We start from the raw sequence: 22,395 nt of genomic DNA on the forward strand, positions 1-22,395 counted from the left end.
AAAAATGTTCTGGTCTCACTTGAGTTTTGCATCATGTTCTTCCTTCCCTGTTTTCTTCCTTACCCGCACCCCTACTGGTACAATTGGTTTCCTCTCACCCCCTCTCCTTTTAACCTATCTTTTGAGATGGGTTTTTTTAAAAAAACAAACCTCTTAAGTATACCTTGAAATCCTAAATTTTCATTTTAGCTGAAAGTCATCCAAACCATATGCATTTCAGTTGAATACTCCTGCAATTGGCCTCACTCTGCCAAAGACTTTTTTTTTTTCTTTTTTTGTTAACTGACCAAGTTTCTTTAGAATAAGGCTGGAATCATATTCGATTCCTCCAAGATCTTTTGAGGGATCACCATCACCAAGTTCCAGATTGTTATTTCATGCAGTGCGCTGTGGTTGTTTCATTCTGCTAACTTGGGAGTATTTCTCCTGCAGAATTGCTCACTCTTCTTTCTTTGTGCTTTTTCCTTTTACTCTCCCTCCCCTTTGCTCTTCTCTCAGGTAGACTTTGCCTGGTTTGTCACTCGGTTTGTCTGGTTTGTCTCGTGTTTCCTTCTCTCTCATGAACACTAATCCTCTGCTGAGAAGTCAGGCGGGTGGGTGGCTGCCATACAGCCTCTGTGCTACAGAGGAATAGCCAACATTTCCCTCAGAGACAGCTGTTTTCCATTTCAGGAGTATCAACATTGTGGCTTTGTTGATTGTCTTTTCACCTCCAGGTTTGGCCTTGTTTGTAGCTGAAACATAACTATTTTCCCTAAGCCTTTCAGGGCCACTGCTCCAGCTCTGTCGGCTGCAAGCCCTGTGTGTGTGTGCATCCTGCCATGCAGACACCACCGGAGTCCCCATCAGTCACACACCCCTCCAACCCAGGGGAGAAATTAAGGCAATTGTGCTAAGGCCCACTGGTGAGGAAAATTGGCTGATCAAATTATTACTAAATGGCTTTTCCAATCTTCTCATTATTCTGTGAGAAAGGGGTGATTTCTGCAGCTTGTCAGAGCCTGGTCCCTTGTCCAGAGATAAAACCAAATCCACAAAAATCCTGTGAATGGAGAGGTTTGGTGGCTATACCTTGGAAACAAACCACAGGACCTAATTCAGCAGGGCTGCCCCTTGGTACAGAATGCAACCAATTTTTGCCTGTTTTAAGTGAAAGCATCCCAAGATGGGAAAGTATATTCTGAGAGTGGAATGCTTTGTAGTTACTGGTACTTAAGGGATGGTGGGCGTGTTAATAAATGATTGTGCTTCTCAAAAGTTATCCCTTTCTGCTCCCGGGTTACTTCTCCTGAGGGAGTCCAGTGATAAAGATCATTAATATGTTTCCTGTAACTGAATCAAAGGGAAGCTTTGCTATCTGCATTGTGTGTGCCAGATTACGGTGTCCACTTATTAACTCTTTGATAGTCATAATGACCACAGAGCTTTTATATATATACATATATATTTACATACATAGCCACAAAGACATATGTATATATTGCACATACATCACATATATATAAAGTCTTCGTGTATATTTCTATTTGTCTGTATTTTCTTCTTTAAGAGTCAGGATGTTGTTTTGTTGCTCAGGCTGGAGTGCAGTGGTGTGATCATAGCTCACTGTAGCCTACTGCTGGGCTCAAGCAATCCTTCCTCCTCAGCCTCCTGAGTAGCTGGGACTATAGGCATGTACCACCACAACTGGCTAATTGTATTTTACTTTTTGTAGAGATGGGATCTTGCTGTGTTGCCCAGGCTGATCTTGAATTCCTGTGCTCAGGTGACCCTCCTGCCTTGGCCTCTCCAAATGCTGGGTTTATAGGCGTGAGCCACCGCGCCTGGTCTGTCTGCGTATTTAACCTGGATCCGCAAATACCTGTGTGAATGTGGATATGTCACTTGATGTGTCTGTTTCTCAGTTTGCCCATCTGTAAAATGAAGGAGTTGGACAAGCTGGGGTGCTTGGTGATGAGGTGCTTCTGCCTCCTGTGAGACTACTGTGTTCCATTTCCCTCCTCCAGCACAGTTCCGGTCACATGATCGGCTCTCAGTGCAAAATGATGTACCAGTGCATGATAGGAACCACAGGATTGCTGAGATTATGTCCAGTGCTAAGACTCTGTGATTCTTTTGTTTTTAGACAATTTGGCCAGGAAGTGACCAGCAATGGAAAAAGGGAAATAATCAGCACATCTGCATGTGTGCCCATCTCAGAGACACAAACTGTGAATAACAACTCACTTGGCTTCATAACCAAGACCTACTCTGAGGAATTGCATCTCTTCCTTGGAGACCTTGATTGGCCTGCTAGGTTAAAGGCAAGGGACAGATTTAATCTAGATTGACTTTAGCAAGACTTTTGACTCAGTCTTGGGCAACATACTTATCAATAAACCTTGGTCGAGGCCCTTTTGCCTCTCACCCAGTTTGCTTATTTACCTCATTCTGACACATCTTGCATATGGCTGCCAACTTAAACCTCTTAAATGTCACTCTCTTTAAAAGTTAGGAGTGGCTCTCAGAGGCCTTTCTTCTGATGATTTCCAAGTCCCTCACCTTGGCATTCAGGCTTTATTGGGTTTTCTGCCACCTTTTCCTTCCAACTTCATTTCTAGGAGTCTCCCACAGACCTGTCTCTCAAATAAGAACAATCTTCTAGTTGCTTTTTCCCTCCCAGGGGTGCCCCCCACCACACCCTGTGCTTGTTCTTGCTCCAGGTAAACCCTGAATACTTTCTGATACAAAGCCAATGATTCCTCCCTGCATCCTGATCCATCCTTTAAAGCCCAGATCAAGACCTGTCTCCCTTGGCCAGGCACAGTGGCGCATGTCTATAATCTCAGCACTTTGGGAGGCCAAGGTGGGAGAATGGCTTAAGCCCAGGAGTTCAAGACCAGCCTGGGCAGCATAGCAAGATCTCATCTCCCAAAAAATAAAAAAAAAAAAAAAGAAAATTAGCTGGGCATGGTGGTATATGCCTGTAGTCCCAGCTACCTGGGAGGCTGACGAGGGAGGATCACTTGAGCCAAGGAGTTGGAGGTTGCAGTGAGCTATGATTGCCCCACTGCACTGCAGCCTGGGTGACAGACTGACTGAGAGAATGAGAACTTATTTCAACAACGTCAATAACAACAAAGAACCTGTCTCAGCCATTAAGGTTTCCTGATGAGCCTGTTTTGGAGGGATCTCTCCTTCCTCTGGTTTTCTGAGTCGCTGTAGACTATAGACACTATCTTGCCCTTGTTCCTACTAGGCATTTCACTAAATTCTTGGAGGAGTCTGAGAGAACTTGGGGGTGCTTGAGGAACCCAAAGGTGTGAAGTAAAAGCTGGAAACCAAGATTGCTGGGAAAGTTCAGAGAAAGTAGAGATTACTTCGTTTGTTGGAGATCACATGCAAGGTAATGATATAGGAGGTAGAAAGAAATTAGGCAGAGAGTGAGGGCAACAGAGTCCTTGGCAGAGCTTCCCTTTTAGCAAAAAAGCAGCCCAAGAAATTATTTTTTTTCTAACAAAGAGCACCCTGAAAAATCCAGCTGCAAAAATAGATACTGGAAACTTGCATGGGGGAATGCTGGCAGCTGTGCCAACAGAAAAGGGCTACCTCGGGACCAGGAATGTCCAACATGGAAGCTCCATCTTTTCTTTTTTTTTTTTGTTACCACGTGTACTGTTACTACGTGTACAGTAAAGCAATGGGCAACATGGCGCAGGCCAGGCATAATAAAAGATTAGGGTGGGGGTGGCCAGAAATTCGTACCCTATGCAAATGGCACACCGGGTCCAACCAGTCTTTCTTGCCCTGTGTAAATCAGACACTACCTCCTCACCAGCTCAGCTATAAAACCCCCTGCATTTCACTGTTGAACTGGCAAACCATTTCTCCAGGACCCCTCTCTGCATCAGAGAGCTATTCTCTTTCTTTTGCTTATTAAACTTCTGCTCTTAACCTCACTCTTTTGTGCGCCTGCGTCCTTGTTCTCCTTGGCTGTGAGACCACGAACCTCGGGTGATACTCCAGACAACGAAGCCATTTCAGTAATTTCATAAGAATCTAAGTGTATAATTAGGTATCAAGTCTACATTGTCACTGACAGTGCGTCAAGGAAAATAGAAATGGTTTACCAGGGGAGGCACTAAAACGTCCTTTACTTTGTCATATCTTTAAGGTTGATGAGGTTCTCATTTACTTGTGGTTTAGGAAAAGCACTGATCAAAGACAGAAATTTGAAAACATGCCCTACTTCAGTGGTCCAACTTAGGCCAAAGTCTTAATGCTTTTAAAGTAACGCTGACAGATATTTGATTTGATAAAATAAAAATTAAGTTAAAAATAAATTATAAACATACTGGTGATATTTCACTTGATAAGTTAAAAAATAAATTGTAAAGATACTGGGTATTTAGAAACCAATTTCATAATCCCGTGAAAATTTTCCTATATTTCTCTTAAGCTAGGGAATGACAACAATATTAAAATTTGCTGGGTTAATAGTTGTTGTTGTTTTTTTTTTTTTTTTTTTTTTTAAGACGGAGTCTCGCTCTGTAGCCCAGGCTGGAGTGCAGTGGTGCGATCTCCGCTCACTGCAAGCTCCACCTCCTGGGTTCATGCCATTCTCCTGCCTCAGCCTCCCGAGTAGCTGGGACTATAGGCACCCACCACCACGCCCAGCTAATTTTTTTGTATTTTTAGTAGAGACAGGGTTTCACTGTGTTCGCCAGGATGGTCTCGATCTTCTGACCTCGTGATCCGCCCACCTCAGCCTCCCAAAGTGCTGGGATTACAGGCTGGTTAATAGATCTTATATACAAATATCACCGGATGCGGCGGCTCACGCCTGTAATCAGCACTTTGGGAGGCTGAGGCAGGTGGATCACTTGAGGCCAGGAGTTCGAGACCAGCCTGGGCAACATGGTGAGACCCCATCTCTACCAAAAATAGAAAAAGTAGGCCAGCATGGTGGCCTGCACCTGTAATCCCAGTTATTCATCAGGCTGGGGCATGAGAATTGCTTGAGCCCAGGAGGCGGAGGTTGCAGGGAGCCGAGATCGCACCACTGCACTCCAGCCCAGGAGACAGAGTGAGACTCTGTCTCAAAAGAAAACAAAACAAACAAATATGTAGTTACTTACGGGATTAGTTATAAAAACAGACAATAGATGTGGAAGCACTCTGACAAAGTTAAGAAGACCCCAGAAAGAGAGATATTTTTATTCTTAGAAACCATCTTTTTTTTGGACTTGTTTTTGTTCTAATGTAACCCTCAGGTAAATGACAGCCAGCCTTCCTAACTAGGGGGTAAGTTTGACTCAAACAAGTGATTAACCATTACCCTGCCTCTGTCTTAAGACTTAGTGAATGAAATCTCCTATCTCTGGCAGCAACCCTCTCCACTCATCTTTTATTGGATTCTTGGGCAAAGTTTGTTTTTCATCTCAGTTACTTTGCCTCCTTTTTATAGGGAGTCTACTCCGAGATCAAAGGCAACCTATAGCAATTTATGAGAAATGAAGGAAGTGGGAGAGATGCTAAGTTACTTTAAGGGATGTTCTGAAATCATGAATCTAGCTGGAATAGCTGGTGTTGGCTGTGTCCAGAAGAGCTGGGACAAGGTACTGCTTTTTGGTGTGGGGAGAGGGACATGAGAGCTTGCTCTTTGGAACATCGGCCTTCATGCCAAGTCTGATGGGTGCTTCCTAATGCTGAATAAGCCTCGGAGTCACCTGGGTTCCTTTTAATTTAAAAATGTATTTTAAAATTTTTGTGGGCACATAGTAGGTGTACATATTTGCAGGGTACATGAGATGTTTTGATACAGGCAGGCAATTTATGAAGAATGGGGTATCCATCCTCTCAAACATCTATCCTATGTGTTACAAACAACCCAATTATACTCTTTTAGTTATTTAGAAATGTATATTAAATTGCTATTGACTATAGTTGCCCTGTTGTGCAATCAAATAGTATGTCTTACTCATTTTTTTTTTTTTGGTACCCATTAACCATCGCCACCTCCCTCCAAGCTCCCTACTCCTTTTTCTTGCCCTGTTGCCCAGGCTAGAGTGCAGTGGCATGATCATGGCTCACTGCAGCCTTGGATTCCTGGCCTTTTAAGTGATCCTCCTGCCTCAGCCTCCTGAGTAGCTAGGACTACAGGTGCATGCCACCATGCCCAGCTAACTTCTTTTATTTTTTTTTTATTTTTGAGATGAAGTCTCACTCTGTCGCCCAGACTGGAGTGCAGTGGTGCAAAATCTTGGCTCACTGCAACCTCTGCCTCCCTGCAACTTCTGCCTCCCGGGTTCAAGCAATTCTCCTGCCTCAGCCTCTTGAGTAGCTGAGATTATAGGCACTTGCCACCATGGCTGGCTAATTTTTTTTTTTTTTTTCGTATTTTTAGTATAGACAGGATTTCCACATGTCGCCCAGGCTGATCTCAGACTCCTGACCTGGATCTTCCCACCTCAGCCACTGAACGTGCTGGGATTACAGGTATGAGCCCCCACACATGGCTACCTTGGGTTTCTTTTGAATGATGCAGATGGTTGGGCCTTACTTAAATGATTCTTCAGGTCCCTAGTGAGTCCAAAGCTTTCGTATCTCAAAGTGTTACAAGTGTCTGGAGGCTCAAACAGCCTCGAGAATCACTGATCTATGTCCCTGATGTCTAGCAGTCTCTTTAAGTCGGTCCTCTTCCCTACAAATATGCTTATATTTTTCAGAGGACTCCTAAATAAGTCCTTGGTTAATCCTGAGTCTGGTTCATTCACTGGCAAAGAACAAAGAGAAAATTTACAAACACGAGAAGGCCTCAGAAGTCAGACTACATAAATTATTTTGGAAAAGGCTTTTCCTTCTTGTATGATTTTCAGAGGGACTTTGGGAAACACACACACACACACACACACACACACACAGAGTCTGGGAGACAAAGTAAACAGGAAAGAAAAGATAGTCTTTTATTGCTTGACGGTTTAAGTGAAAAAAAGTTTATTTCAAAAAATATTTTGACTCCCCCTTTTTTCCCTTTAAAAGTGCATCAAGCTATTTTTAGGAGGGCAGGGTGGCTGGTTTTGGGGGACGAATGAAAGCATGACATCACCATGCTATTTTGGTAGCGCAAGAAGAGAAACATGCCAGGCTAGGTTGGCTTGGGCTTGGTTCTGTGTGTTTGGGAGCTGAATCGCGTCTTTTTCTAATTTGGTTTCTCTCAGAGCTGTGGCTCTTCACTGGAGACTGGAAGCATAATATTTATTCAAAGCTAATTTGTAAACTTCATTTTCAGTTGAAGGTCTGGAATGGAAACTCCTATTGTGATCTTAAGGGCTGTAACCCAGAGAATCTGGTTCTTCCTGGAGTATTTCAGCAGGGATCAGGTTTGCAGACTTTTTCTCAAGGGCCCCAACGAGAAACCTGACTGCCTGCTCTATTTTAGGTCAACTGTGGGGTATCGGTTTGGAAAGCAAATTCTTAACCTGAACTTTTTGTTGCTGATAAGGCTTTGCGGCTAGCAAAGAGGTAGCTTTCTCACTCATTTAGATTTTGCAGTGGAATCGCTCCCTGCATGTGTATTATTGTCAGCAACTCCTATTTTCCCCAGAGAGGTTTTGAAATGTTCTTTCTGAATGTTCATGTTTATAACTTTTCTCAAGTGGAGCTCCTGCTTCCTAAAACACATTCAGCTTGTTCAAGAACTTGCCCCCACCTCCCACCCCTGGAGACAAAAGTATACCTTTGTGTGCATCTGTTAAGCCTAAGATGTCTGAGATGGTTGTTTTCTAAACTAACTCACCAATCGCTTTATCATTAAAAGCAGCATTTTACTCTCATGTTCCTAACCTATTTATGGGTCTGTGATAGATGGTTATTTTTTTGGCAGGCTTGAGATAAGCCTGGGTCAAGGAAACAGCTTGTGTTCGTCTCTTTAAGCCTCACTCATCCTTGCCATATCATTTCATGATTTCCTTTCCTGTTATCTTCAAACATTCCCTCAAAGCAGAAATTGACAAGAGCGAGGAGGTTGGGAAAGGGCTGGCAAAGCAGTTGTTTTTCTTCGTGTTCTAAAATGGATGTTTTCCTTTCCCCCACAACCCCCACTCCCACCCCACTTGCAACCTTTCTTTTTTATTACCCACCCCTGGGTCTCTAAAGATGATGGAAAAAAATAACTCCTTTCCCTCTTTAAAGAAGGGTCCCTAAGAGGTTTCTAATCAGCTCACTGTCAGCCTGTTTCCTCTGATCAGCTTAAATAGGTCTACTTGAAGTTCACAACTGCCAAAACCGCGTGTTCAGACTGAAAGGCTGGGAGCATTTCAGACGCATTTATGAACTTCCACCAAGATGATCCGGCAGGCTGAAATCGCAGGGAGAGCGTCTGTTCAACAAACCCTTTCTTCTTGATTGAATTAGTGTTACCCACTAACAGGATGAGGAATTCCCACTCCACAAGCTGACTTTTTTTCCTCTTTCCACCTCCCGCCTCCCTCCATTAAAATGTAAACTTGATTCCTGTGTCCTTTGCCGGAGCCTGGCTTCCCTGTAAGCCCATCATAAACATCTTGGTAGAAATGCAACTTTTAACCTCTCCTTGATGGTTTTCCGTCTAACTTTATACATGGGGAAAAAATGGTGAAAGACGTTATCTCTGGCGGGTGCAGGCGTGTAGGGGCAGGAAGTTTCTGCACTGTGGCTGCTCTGGTCCTTTCGTAACTGAGGTTTTCCTGCCCTGTCCTTTAGCAAAGAATGGCTTTGTTAACCATTAGCCACTGACAAGAGTGTGTCCATTTCAGCAAAATTAATAAGAGATAGCATTTTTCTTCCTTCTAAATGGCCCATGTCAGTAATTAACATCGCCTTTCATTACTCAACTTGAAAGCGCCTTCTCGGCCTCCCTCTGACCTTGCCCTGGCTTTGTTAAACTGTGGCCTCCAGCCTGTGAGAGACCTAAATGCAGAAAAAGTTTTGTGACCGAGATGCCTTGAAAGAATCATTCGACAAATATTTATTGAGTGCCTACTGTGTGGGGCTACCAAGTTGAATCAGACATAAACTCTAATGGAGGAAAAAAGAAAAAAACTGGGAGAAAAGATAAAAGGGGTTTGTTTAAAATAGCCCTAAGATAACAGATAATGATGGTTACCCCAGGACAGGAGCAGATCCGGTGTTGTGGGGGCCTGGGCTAATCGAGATGGCCGAGGGGAAAGTGGGTGAAAGTTTTATGGAAAAAGGGACAATTGAGAGAAACATTATAACGGAGTTCAGAGCAAAAAAGGAATATAAAAGTTCAAAAGAGCTTTCCTTACTCTTAGGGAATGAGGGAAGGCGTAACTTCATAGAGAATATATGTTTAAAGCTCAAGAGAGAACTTTCCCCCTTCTTGGTTGGCTGCTTGAACGTATACCTAGCCAATGAGGAGTTCACCATTGAAATGTTAATCATTGCACTAAAGTCTAGTTTAGCCAACCCTCACCCAAAAGTGTGTGAAATATTTTCCTGTTATGTTTTCCCCGCCAGGAGAATTCTTGGTCACAGGGGTAGAAGTGTCACATTAGGGTGAGTTGAATTAGACTCTATGTTCTTCATGACTATAACCATGAACTCCATTGTTCATGGAGCCACCCGGAAAAGCCCAAATGCCCAGGAGGAAAGAATCCGTGGAAAAAATTATGGTGCAGCATCGGATGGCATCTACTTGCAACCAGGATGGTGAAGATTTTTAATGGTTTGTGAAAAAGCAAAAATGTCATATTCTTATTTTTGTGAAGAATGTGAATATTTTCATATTGAGAAGTACAGACTAGAAGACTAAACATTAAAATGTGATTAATAGTTATTGGTAGGTGCTGGAGAAACAAATGATTTGTATATTTCTTCCCTGTGATTTTCAGGATTTTCCAAAATGTTTACAATGCACAGGTGTTACTTTTGCAATCAGGTAAAATGCTATTAAAGAATAAGGATGCTGAGGGAAAAAAGGACTTCTTTATTAAGGGGAGAATTTAAATGTAGATAATTATGAAAATGGCTGGGAGAATTCTTTCCTGTGCCACGTTGAATGCCATCAGTTTTAAAAACAGAAAAACTGCACAACCCTGCAATCAGAACCGAACACGAGAGTCTGTTTTAAGTAACAATGACTATCATTCAATAAACTCGATGGGAGATTTCCCTTTCAGCTAAAAATTTGTCAGTTGATTTTTTTAGAAATTCTTGCAGTGAAAGAATCATTTCTCCTTGTCTCAGATGGAGTGTAGCTCTCGTAGATTTTGGGTTCTGAATTATTCAAGGGTCAAAAATCTACTACAAGGTTGTCCTGATTACTTTTTTTTTTTTTGTAAATTCTTTGTTATTGTACTCTTGCTCGAGCCTAAAGATACAAAAATCTAAAGTCCAGCTATTCATCTAATTATGGCCTTCACTAAATAATAGATACAAATAAAGAGGTTTCTTGTGCATAAATGAACAAGAAACCTCTTTATTTGTATCTATTATTTCGTAGTTTTCTTCTACTCAAATGGCATAAATCAGATAAGTTATTTATTTCACAATTGGTGGCAAGTCTGCAAAAGTCGCCCAAATTGTGATGCAGCTGTCTGCAGATCATAAGCAGAGGAAACAGCTTCTGCTTTCATTCAAATCCTGGGCCCTGCTATTTGCAATAGAAAAGCTAAGTTGGATGTGGGGGTGGGATGGAGGTGACAGAGAGAAGGCAGAGAAATGGGAAAAATGCAAACCTGTAGTTCAGGTTAAAATTGGTTTCCAGCTTCTTTTGGCATTTTGTATCATTTATGCCTCACAATATGAAAAGCAACAACCACCCCTGCGGGTGCCCCTCCCCCAGGCCTGGATTGTTTTTTTTGTCATCTGAGTCATTCAGAATTGTGGGGCAGAAAACACATAAACAGAATGAGAAATGCTGTTTGCCATGAGCACGCAACTTTTAAAACTGTTTCAGGCCTTGAAAGAAGGTTCCTTCCTTTTCTCCTTCCAAAGACTCAAAAAGAAAAAAGAAACTCAAGAAAATACTTCTGTCTTTACAATGAAAGGATTCACGTCCTGTCTGTCCCTGGCAGCCGGAAAGAACAGAGTTGCTGGCTGAGAAGTCAGAGGTGACTTAGGGAGAGAAGTCCAGCCCCAGAGCGGAAAGGCTGGCGGTCAGTAGGGATAACATGGTCTCCACTGAACCTAGGCTGGGGGCAGGAGCGGGGAGCGGGGAGGGAGAAGGGGAGCAGATCTGATTGACCTTGTCCTTGGGAGTCTCAGGAATGTGAAGGAACAATCTCCTTCGAACCTGTTTTGTACCAACTAGTGTCCCAGATACTTAGAAATATTTTCTTCTCCCTCCTTGCCTTGCTTCCTGGGAGTTTATAGGAAACCCAAATTTAAAACATGAACAAAAGCGAAAACCGAATCAGGTAGGTGGGAGAAGAGAATACGGATAATGCACTGCAAGCTTGCTATGGTTGACCAAGCAAGTTAACTCTGAACTTCACAGCATCAAATGCAAAACAAGGGGGTGGGTTGGCAGTGAGTGGAGGAAGCGGACCCACAGTTGTGTATTTTTGGTTCTTTGTGAGGAAGATGGCATGCCCACAGGAAGAGAAAAACCTTGGCCACCACTGGATAGAAAATTCTCCTGTGTTGCTTTATGTAGGAGACGTTTGAAATGTGGTTGAAAATGTACTAGGAAACGTTTCTAAGTGCTTTGCTTTTCCTTGAAACTTTTTGGCCTTCTCTGTCCATTCAACCTTGGTTATTAAAATTTATTCTCTGATATTTCATCCTATAGCTTCTTGTGTAGAGATGAACATACGAAACTCAATCATTTGTATCCCTACAGAAGACTTTTTTTTTTTTGGAGATGGAGTCTTGCTCTGTTGCCCAGGCTGGAGTGCAGTGGCACGATCTCAGCTCACTGCAACCTCCACCTCCCGGGTTCAACTGATTCTCCTGCCTCAGCCTCCCAAGTAGCTGGGACTAGAGGTGCCTGCCACCAAGCCTGGCTAATTTTTGTATTTGTAGTAGAGACGGGGGGGTTCACGATGTTGGCCAGGCTGGTTTCAAATTCCTAAGCTCAAGTGATCCACCTGCCCTGTCCTCCCAAAGTGCTGGGATTCCAGGCTTGAGCCACTATGCCCGGCCAACAGTAGACAATCAAAATTGTCAGAGATGCTTGAACTAGAGCGACTCCATCTTGAATAGAGGCTGGGTAAAATGAGGCTGACACCTACTGAGCTGCATTCCTAGAAATAAAGGCTTTCTAAGTCACAGGATGAGATAGGAGGTTGGCACAAAGTACAGGTCACAAAGGCCTTGCTGATAAAAGGATGCGGTAAAGAGGCTGTCCAAAACCTACCCAAACCATGATGGAGAGAAAAGTGACCTCTGGTCATCCTCACTGCTCATTATACGCCAATTACAATGCATTAGCATGCTAGAAGACACTCCCACCAGTGCCATGACAGTTTACAGATGCCATGGCAATGTCTACCTTATATAGTCTAAAAAGGGGAGGAGCCCTCAGTTCTGGGAATTGCCCACCCCTTTCCGGGAAAACTCATTAATTATCTACTCCTTGTTTAGCATAAAATCAAGAAACAACCATAAAAATAGCCGACCAGCAGCCCTTGGGGCTGCTTTGCCTATCGGGTAGCCATTCTTTTATTTCTTCACTTCTCTAATAAACTTGCTTTTCACCTTACTCTGGATTTGCCTTGAATTTTTTCTTGCGAGAGATCCAAGAATCCCCTCTTGGGGTCTAGTTCGGGATCCCTTTCTAGAAACAGAATTGCAATACCACACATGGTAAGCATTTAACAAACGCCTGTTGAGTGAATGGGTGAAAAATAGTAATTCAATGTACCGTCAATAAACAGTTAGAGAAAGTCTTGAAAATATTTTAAGTGGGGTGTGGTGGTTCATGCCTGTCATCCCAGCCCTTTGGGAGACCTGATGTGGGAGGAGCGCTTGAGGCCAGTAGTTCCAGGCTGCAGTGAGCTATGATCACATCACTGAACTCCAGAGTAAGACCCTGTCAACAAAAAAGAAAAGAAAAGAAAGAGAAAAAGAAAGAAAAAGTAATTTAGTTATGGTGGTAAAAGAATTGAAAGAAAGAAAGAAAGAAAGAGAACGAAAGGGAGAAAGGAGGGAAGGAGGAAGGGAGGGAGGAAGGAAGCAAGCAAGGAAGGAAGGAAGGATTTTAGTTAGGTGGTAAAATAATTGACTCTTCCTCTGCCTCCACACAGCCTGCAAGCAGCAGCTGGTGCCCAGCGTGCAAATGTATCACTACCAGCACCAGAGGTTAACAGATACTACAGCTGGAGCTGCAGAAAGAGCCTCCTGAGGAGCTGGACTCTGCAGATGAGAATGAAAGCAGTGACTTTATGGTGTACAGGTGTCCAGGCGTGGCCCCGAACAGGGAGATGGTGGTGTGCAACCCTCTTTTTGGCCACTTCTCGCTGTCAGTGCCTCTGCTGGGCCCACGCCCACTGCCCCACTGAAGTGACCCCCAAGGCTGCAGGACACCCACCTGCTCCATGAGTGGGGAGAGGCAGGGCCCACGCTTCTCATTACAAAAATATGTTCTGACACTCTGAGTACTTGTGGCTGGGCTGGAGAGGCATTGGGCCCTGGGATCTCTTGCCAGGGAGACAACCCCCCTGCAACTTTGTGCTAGGTAATCTTCTGTCCCCTCTTGTGTCTCTTCTTTCCAGTCTGGACCTTCAAATTGGAGGGGGTGAGGAGAACCCTAAAGCCCAGGCATCGATGGGGAATTCTGGAGACAAAAGCTAATTAAAGTTCATTTCAAACCTGTGGGGAGAAAAATTCTAGACATAAACCTAATGTAAAGAAACACATAAAATTTTATTGGAAGACAAAAGAAAAGTGGAATGAGCACACATATCATGTTTTTGGATGGTAAGAATAAAAATTGTGAAAGTGTCAATTTTTTTCTAAATCATCTATTAATTCAATGCAACCTCATGAAAAATTACAAAGGGATTGTTTTAGTCCATTTTATGTTGCTATAACAACACCACAGACTGGGTAATTTATAATAAGCAGAAATTTGTTTGGCTCATAGTTCTGGAGGCTGGGAAGTCCAAGAGCATGGTGCCAGCATTTGGTGAGAGCCTTGGTGCTGCATCATCCCATGGCAGGAGTTGATAGGACAAGAGAGAGGGCTAGAGTAAGACAGGGAAGGTGATCCAAATGTATTCTTTTATCAGGAATCCACTCTTGAGATAACTAACCCACTCCTGCAATAACTTCATTAATTCATTTATGTAGTGCCCTCCTGACCTAATCACCTCTTAAAGGTCTCATCTCTCAACATTGTTGCACTGGGCTTTAAATTTCCAACACATGAACTTTGGGGGGCCACATTCAGACCATAACAGGGATATTTTATGAAATTTGACAAGCTGATCTGCTAGTTTATATAGAATGGAAAATACACAGATTAATAAAATAGATTTAAATTTCTTTTTTTTCTAGAGACAGGGTCTCACTTTGTCACCCAGGTGGGAGTACAGTGGTATGATCATAGCTCACTGCAGCCTCCAACTCCTGGGCTCAGCCAGTCCTCCTGCTTCATCCTCCCAAGTAGCTGGAACTATAGGCATACACCACCACATCTGGCTAATTAAAACTTTTATTTTTTATCTTTTTGGTAGAGACGGGGTCTTACTATGTTACTCAGGCTGGTGTCAAACTTCTGGCCTCAAGTGATCCTCCTGCCTTATCCTTCCAAAGAGCTGGGATTATAAGCCAACTCACCTGGCCAATAGAAAAGATTGGCACCACTTTTAAAATTTGAATTTTTTGCCAACAATAAAAATTTGAGCTGGGCAGGGTGGCTTACGCCTGTAATCTCAGCACTTTGGGAGGTCAAGGCAAGTGGATCACAAGGTCAGGAGTTCGAGACCAGCCTGACCAACATGGTGAAACCCTGTCTCTATCAAAAATACAAAAATTAGCTGGTGTGGTGGCGCACGCCTGTAATCCCAGCTACTCGGGAGGCCGAAACATGAGACTCACTTGAACCCGTGAGGCAGAGGTTGCAGTGAGCCGAGATCACGCCACCGCACCCCAGCCTGGGTGACATAGTGAGACTCCATCGCAAGAAAAAAAAATTGAGGTTTAATGCAGTGATATAAATAAAATATGATCAACAGTTCTGGATAAAATATTTGCAAGCTACATGGTTAATAGAGATTATTATTCATAATAGGTCAGGAGCTCATACAAGTAAAAAAAGGAAAAAAGGCAGAAAGATGGATAAAAATGGAAACAGTCAAGTGATTCACTTAAATCAATCTACATGTGAAAACATTCTTAATCTCGTTAGTAAAACAGTGAACACAGATCAAAGTGTGTCCGGAATTGGTTGTTTCTTGGTCTCACTGACTTCAAGAATGAAGCCTTGGACCCTCACGGTGAGTGTTACAAGTCTTAAGGTGGCGCGTCTGGAGTTTGTTCCTTCTGACGTTCGGATGTGTTCGGAGTTTCTTCCTTCTGGTGGGTTCGTGGTCTCGCTGGCTCAGGAGTGAAGCTGCAGACCTTCCCGGTGAGTGTTACAGCTTTTAAGGCGGCATATCTGCAGTTGTTCGTTCCTCCTGGTGGGCTCATGGTCTCGCTGGCTTCAGGAGTGAAGCTGCAGATCTTCCTGGTGAGTGTTACAGCTCATAAAAGTAGCGTGGACCCAAAGAGTGAGCAGTAGCAAGATTTAACTGCAAAGAGAAAAGAACAAAACCTCCACAGTGTGGAAGAGGGCCCAAGCGGGTTGCCACTGCTGGGTCGGGCTGCCTGCTTTTATTCTCTTATCTGGCCCCACCCACATCCTGCTGATTGGTAGAGCCGAGTGGCCTGTTTTAACAGGGTGCTGATTGGTGCGTTTACAAACCCTCAGCTAGACATAAAGGTTCTCCACAGCCCCATCAGACTCAGGAGCCCAGCTGGCTTCACCCAGTGGATCCCGCACAGGGGCTGCAGGTGGAGCTGCCTGCCAGTCCAGCACCATGCGCTCGCACTCCTCAGCCCTTGGGTGGTCGATGGGACTGGGCGCCGTGGAGCAGGGAGTGGCGCTCGTCGGGGAGGCTCGGGCTGCACAAGAGCCCACGGAGGCGGGGGAAGGCTCAGGGATGGCGGGCTGCAGTCCCGAGGCCTGCCCCGCAGGAAGGCAGCTAAGGCCCGGCGAGAAATCCACCGCAGCGCCGGTGGGCCGGCACTGCTGGGGGACCCAGTACACCCTCCGCAACCGCTGGCCCGGGTGCCAAGTCCCTCACTGCCCAGGGCCGTTAGGACCGGCCGGCTGCTCGGAGTGCGGGGCCCGCCAAGCCCACGCTCACCCGGAACTCCAGCTGGCTCGCAAGCGCGGCGCGCAGCCCCGGTTCCTGCTCGCGCCTCTCCCTCCACACCTCTCTTGCAAGCTGAGGGAGCCGGCTCTGGCCTTGGCCAGCCCAGAAAGGGGCTCCCATAGTGCAGCGCTGGGCTGAAGGGCTCCTCAAGTGCCACCAAAGTGGGAGCCCAGGCAGAGGAGGCGCCGAGAGCTGTGAGGACTGCCAGCACGCTGTCACCTCGCAAAAGTAAGGAAGATCGATTATTTTTCACCCATTAGCTGGGCAATTCAAAAAAATTCTGTTGCATTCCATTTTGGGGGAGTATGCATTGGTAATAGCCTTTTGAAGATTGATTTGGCAGTGTTTATTAAAAGTAAAAATACCTATTTTCTTTGCATCATCACTTCTGTATTTCTGTCCAAGAGAATTCTTTGCACATGTACAAAGTTATACAGGTTGAAAGAGGCATGGGTAAAGATTTTCAATGCAGCATTGTTCATAATTGCAAAAAATTTTCAATTTAAATGTCCATCATTAGGGAAACAAATTGTGATATTTCCAATACTACATAGCATTATGCAGCAGTAAGAGAGAATAAGGTAAGTGGCTGGGCACGGTGGCTCACGCCTGTAATCCCAGCACTTTGGGAGGCCGAAGTGGGCAGATTACTTGAGGTCAAGAGTTTGAGAACAGCCTGGTCAACATGGTGAAACCCCATCTCTACAAAAACACAAAAAATTAGCTGGACATGGTGGTGTGTGCCTGTAATCCCAGCTACTTGGGAGGCTGAGGTAGGATAATCGCTTAAACTTGGAGGCAGAGGTTGCAGTGAGCTGAGATTGCGCCACTGCACTCCAACCTGAGTGAACCAAAAAAAAAAAAAAAAAAAAAAAAAAAAAAACGAGAGAGAGAGACTAAGGTAGACCTGTAAAGACTAAGGTAGACCTATAGTGATCCACTCACCTCAGCCTCATCACTTGAGATCAGGAGTTTGAGACCGGCCTGGCCAACATGGTGAAATCCCGTTTCTACAAAAATACAAAAAATTAGCCAGGCGTGGTGGCGCATGCAATCCCAGCTACTCAGGAGGCTGAGGCAGGAGAATTGCTTGAACCCTCAGGGTGAAGGTTGCAGTGAGCTGAGATCGCGCCACCGCACTCCAGCCTGGGCAACCAAAAAAAAAAAAAAAAAAAAAAGAGAGAGTGAGACAGAGGCTAAGGTAGAGACCTTAGTACTGACATGGAAAGATTAATAAGACATATTTTTATGTGACAAAGTACACATTGAGCAATATGTACAGTTTAATGCTATTTATATACCTCCGGTGTGTGTGTCTGTTTGTGCGTTTGTGTGTATGTATGAATGCACATGTACAACTGCATAGAAAAAAAGCCTAAAATTTACATACCAAGCTGTAATAGTGCTTTCTGTGGGGGTGTGTGTTGTGATTGGGGCCGGGGGAGGGAGGAGGTAAAAGTGGTTCTTTTTTGTAGTCGATATACTTCTGTATTGTATGAAAACTTAAAATAATATATTCATTCTTAATTAAGCCATTAAACATTGTTTTTTAAAACCAATATATCAAGAGCCGATACATTTTTCATAAAGACATTTTACCCAAATTTAGTTAAGGTAAAAAGGTTTAATGCAGTGAAATAAGAAAAATATGATCAACAGTCTCAGGTAAAATATTTGCAAGCTACATGATTGATAAAGATTATTATTCATAATATGTAAGGAGCTCATACATATAAATAAAAAGGGGCAAAGGTAGAAAGATGGAGAAAAATGGAAACAGTCAAGTGAATTCAGGAATTCATCATCATCGCGATAAATGGAGTCTTTTTTGGCCTCCTTTTCTGAAAGGATTTATTTTCTTAAACTCTGATCCCCCTTCGCCCAACCATCCCACCCCGGAGCCCTTCTCCCTTTTTAATTTCAGTAAGAAAAGCTCCTAGGAGATGTATTAATAGTTTCTTTCTTTTTTTTTTTTTTTTTTTTGAGACGGAGTCTTGCTTTGTCGCCCAGGCTGGAGTGCAGTGGCGCGATCTCCGCTCACTGCAAACTCCGCCTTTCAGGTTCACGCCATTCTCCTGCCTCAGCCTCCCGAGTAGCTGGGACTACAGGCGCCCGGCTGATTTTTTGTATTTTTAGTAGAGACGGGGTCTCACCGTGTTAGCCAGGATGGTCTCGATCTCCTGACCTCGTGATCGGCCCGCCTCGGCCTGCCAAAGTGCTGAGATGACAGGCATGAGCCACCGCGCCCGGCCATGTTGATAGTTTCTGAAGTGGTGGAAGGATCAGGGAGTGAGGACAGTCTTCAATCCTTGACCCATAACTACCATTTAGGTACGGATTTACGTCCTCACTACCCAAGCAGAGATTTTAAAGCTCTTAAGTTCTTCCCCCTCCACTGCTCTCCTCAAGGTGACGTAATCATACAAAGAGGTCAGCTAGGAAAAGGATCTGGGTAACTCACACCAGGACAGTTAGTTCCTGCATGATTGAAAGCTGGCTAGTTGGATTTCATTCAAAGGTAATGACCACATTTCCTTAAAAAAAAAATTGGCAAAACGTTACGTTTGGTGGCCTGGTGCATAAATCAACATCCGACAACCCCCCTTCCCCAAAATGGATAATGCTCAAAAATGAGACACATTTGTAGGCCTCTTGGGTATCTTTGTTTGAATGACCCTTTTTTTTCCTCCTGACCTGTACTCTCCACACTGTATATCAAAACCCACAGACTTTATTCCCTCTCCCCCTTCCCACCCCTTTAAGAAATTTATTTGTGCTTCACTCATTTCATGTAACCCTCTGCTTCTGTGCTCGAAGCAGAAGAAAGAGTTTAGTGTCTAAAAAATAGCCCTTGAGCAAGACAGCTCCTAAACAAACTCCCATCTCCTCTGCCAGCCCAAGGAGCGTTTCTCTTACAGTTTACACAAGAAGTTGTTAAAAAACAAAGAGTGAGCTGATCTGATATCCAATAAAGTCACATTTGATTTACTTCCTTGTGAAAATCCTTACTCAATAGGCTTTCCAGTGAATTTTTAAATGAACACTTTTGTTGGAGTTTGTATGTGTGTATATGTGCACATGTAAGAGGGAAGCTTCCTTTAAACATGTTAAAATACCTGTTATGGTTTTAGGGGATTTGTGTACAGATGCATTATGATATCAATTGTATACTACAGAGAAAACCATTTTTATTACCTTCAAATGAAGACCTATGCAGTGGATCTGTCTGTCGACTTAAAAGGAAGAAGCTGAGGCAAAATTGGTATAAGTAGAGACATAATTTGGGCCAAGCTTGAGAATTGCAACCCAGAAGCATAGATTCAGATTCAAGTTGCCCTGAATATATACTCTGGTTAGCAGCAGTTACAAGTAGACTTTTAAAGGCAAAAAAAGGGGGACAGGGCCTGGTGAGGTGGCTCATGCCTGTAATCCCAGCACTTTGGGAGGCGGGCGGATCACGAGGTCAAGAGATCAAGGCCATCTTGGCCAACATGGTGAAATCCCATCCCTGCTAAAAATACAAAAATTAGCTGGATGTGGTGGTGTGCGCCTGTAGTCCCAGCTACTCGGGAGGCTGAGGCAGGAGAATCACTTGAACCCAGGAGGCAGAGGTTGCAGTGAGCCAAGATCGCACCACTGTACTCCAGCCTGGGTGACAGAGCGAGACTCTGTCTCAAAAAAAAAAAAAAAAGGAGGCGGGGACAGGGAGTAGCCTGATAGGAAGTTGCTTGTCGGGAATTCTCATTGGTTTACAGAAATAACATTGATTTGTGATTGACTATACATTGTGAACCTGTCCAGTGCAGCATTATTAGGTTAATTTATAGCTACTTGTGGCAATAGCAAGTTGTTTCAAGAGATGAATACATAGCTCAAAGCGGGGAGTAAAATATGGTTGCTGTCTCATTTTAATGTCTCTCTGGACTTGATAATTAAAATGACTTGTATTCCTCAGATAAAAGTTCTCATCTCTTACTATTTTGTCTGAATCAGATTATTCCTCCCTTTTAGGATTTACTACTCTGGCATTTGTATAATTCTGGTGGGTCAGTCAACTAATGGCTTGCAATCAACAACACTCCCACCACAGGGTGGGCGTGAGACCCAGGCAGGTCAGACAAAAACCTGTTTCAGAAACTGATGTAGAGAATGAGAGGAAGTGGTCTCTCCAGGGAAGAGAGTCTTCTCTGTGTCGGTGTGGTTCTCCCTTTGGGCAGGCTATTGAAGGACAGTGCAGAGAGGAGGAAGCTATCCTATGTGGTTGGCTGAACATGACAGCTTTGACATGGAGAACAAGTAATATTCAGCAGGTTACTAATATGTTTGCCTATGTAGAAGGATAAGTATGTTCCCGATTAGACGGGGGTGGGGTAACAAACGTGCCAACTGAAACATGAACCCTTTGCTGGAAATTTTATGCCAGCAGTGACCTGCAGACTTCTTTTTTATATATATAATTTAAGTATTCTTAATTTCTAATAAAAATATAATTGTGAAACTGATCATTTAATTAAATTATAATGTAATTATTTAGTAATTACCTTAGAAGTTAGATCAAAAGGATATAAAACATATGACTAGTGATTTAAAAAAAAATTTCAGCTAGTAAATTTAATTTTATCTATTTATTTATTTTGAGACAGGGTCTCACTCTATCATCCAGGCTGGAGTGCTGTGGTGTGATCACAGCTTACTGCAGCCTCGAACTCCTGGGCTCAAACAATCCTCCCACTTCAGCCTCCCAGGTAGGTGGGACTTCAGGCGTGTGTCATTATGCTCAGCTAATTTTTAATTTTTTTGTAGAGAGAGGTTCTCCCTATTGTTGCCCAGGGTGGTCTCAAACTTCTGGGCTCAAGCGATCCAAGGTGTTGGGATCACAGATGTGAGCTGGCAAACAACTTCTATTTTAGAGTCGGGGTGTACGTGCAGGTTTGTTTCATGAGTATATTGCGTGATGCTGAGGTTTGGGGAATGATTGAGCCTGTCACCCAGGTATTAAGCACAGTCTCCAGTAGGTATAGTTTCCTAACCCGTTCCTCATCTCTTCTTCCTCCCTCTAGTTGTCTGCAGTGTCTGCTGTTGCCATCTTTATGCCATGTGTACTCAGATCTGCAGATCTCTGAGATGGGGTTGGCATGATGGGAAGAGGACATTGACATGGCATGAGAAATTCCTGAAGACAGTAGGGACCGGAGCTTCTGGGTAGTGCTTTGTTGTAATGAGAGGAAGGACCTTTTAGAAATTGATTGGCAGAATAGACAGTAAGTAAATTGAGCGACTTTATTGAGTAGTAAATGACAGAGTAGCTTGAGGAAAGAAGAGTTGAATAACAACTTGAAAGAGACTGGGAAGAAAACAGATTAATAATGCTTATGGGAAAGTTGAAAAAATAGTTTCTACTTGTTAGGAGAGATGTCCTGGAGAGGAGTAAGGCACTCTAAGTGCCAGCCTTCCTTCCCAGGTACCAAGTTATTGTCCAGGACTCAGGAGACTGATATGGGTTTAGAACCTGAGGATCTAAATGAGGGAGATTGGCTGGGCACAGTGGCTCATGCCTGTAATCCCAGCACTTTGGGAGGCTGATGCAGGAGGATCGCTTGAGGCCAGGAGTTCAAGATCAGTTTGGGCAACATAGCAAGCCCCTATCTTTACAAAAAAAATAAAAAAAAAAAAAATTAACCAGGCGTGGTGGCACATGCCTGTAGTCTCAGCTACTCTGAAGTCCAAGGTGGGAGGATCGCTTGAGCCCAAGAGTTCAACGCTGCCATGAGCTATGGTTGTGCCACTATACTCCAGCCTGGGCAACAGAGTGAGACTCTGTATCTAAAAATAAATACATACATACATACATACATACATACATACATACATACATACAAAGGAGACCTAACAGCTAAAACATCCTGCCCAATGGGATGACTCCTTACTGGACAGCGGCAAACTGACCTGGCTTCTTGGGCCAGGAAAATCACATGAAATGGGTCTACAGCTCAGGTTGGATTCTGAGCAGCATTAAGCCAGCACTGCTTCAGCTCTCCCCAGGGCCTGATGT

General features: G+C 43.8%; 1 long non-coding RNA gene across 1 annotated transcript in view; it reads left to right on the forward strand.

The window, feature by feature from the left end:
* Nucleotides 1–8,558, forward strand: part of LINC01517 (long intergenic non-protein coding RNA 1517) — a 64,570-nt gene extending 56,012 nt beyond the window's left edge. Inside the window, exons 3-4 of the long non-coding RNA NR_120652.1 lie at nucleotides 6,386–6,477; nucleotides 8,229–8,558. This is a non-coding gene — a long non-coding RNA (long intergenic non-protein coding RNA 1517). The remainder of the gene's footprint in view (nucleotides 1–6,385; nucleotides 6,478–8,228) is intronic.
* Nucleotides 8,559–22,395: the final 13,837 nt, after the last annotated feature.

Source organism: Homo sapiens, chromosome 10 (genome assembly GCF_000001405.40).
Source record: "Homo sapiens chromosome 10, GRCh38.p14 Primary Assembly".
NCBI classification, from domain to species: Eukaryota; Metazoa; Chordata; class Mammalia; order Primates; family Hominidae; genus Homo; species Homo sapiens.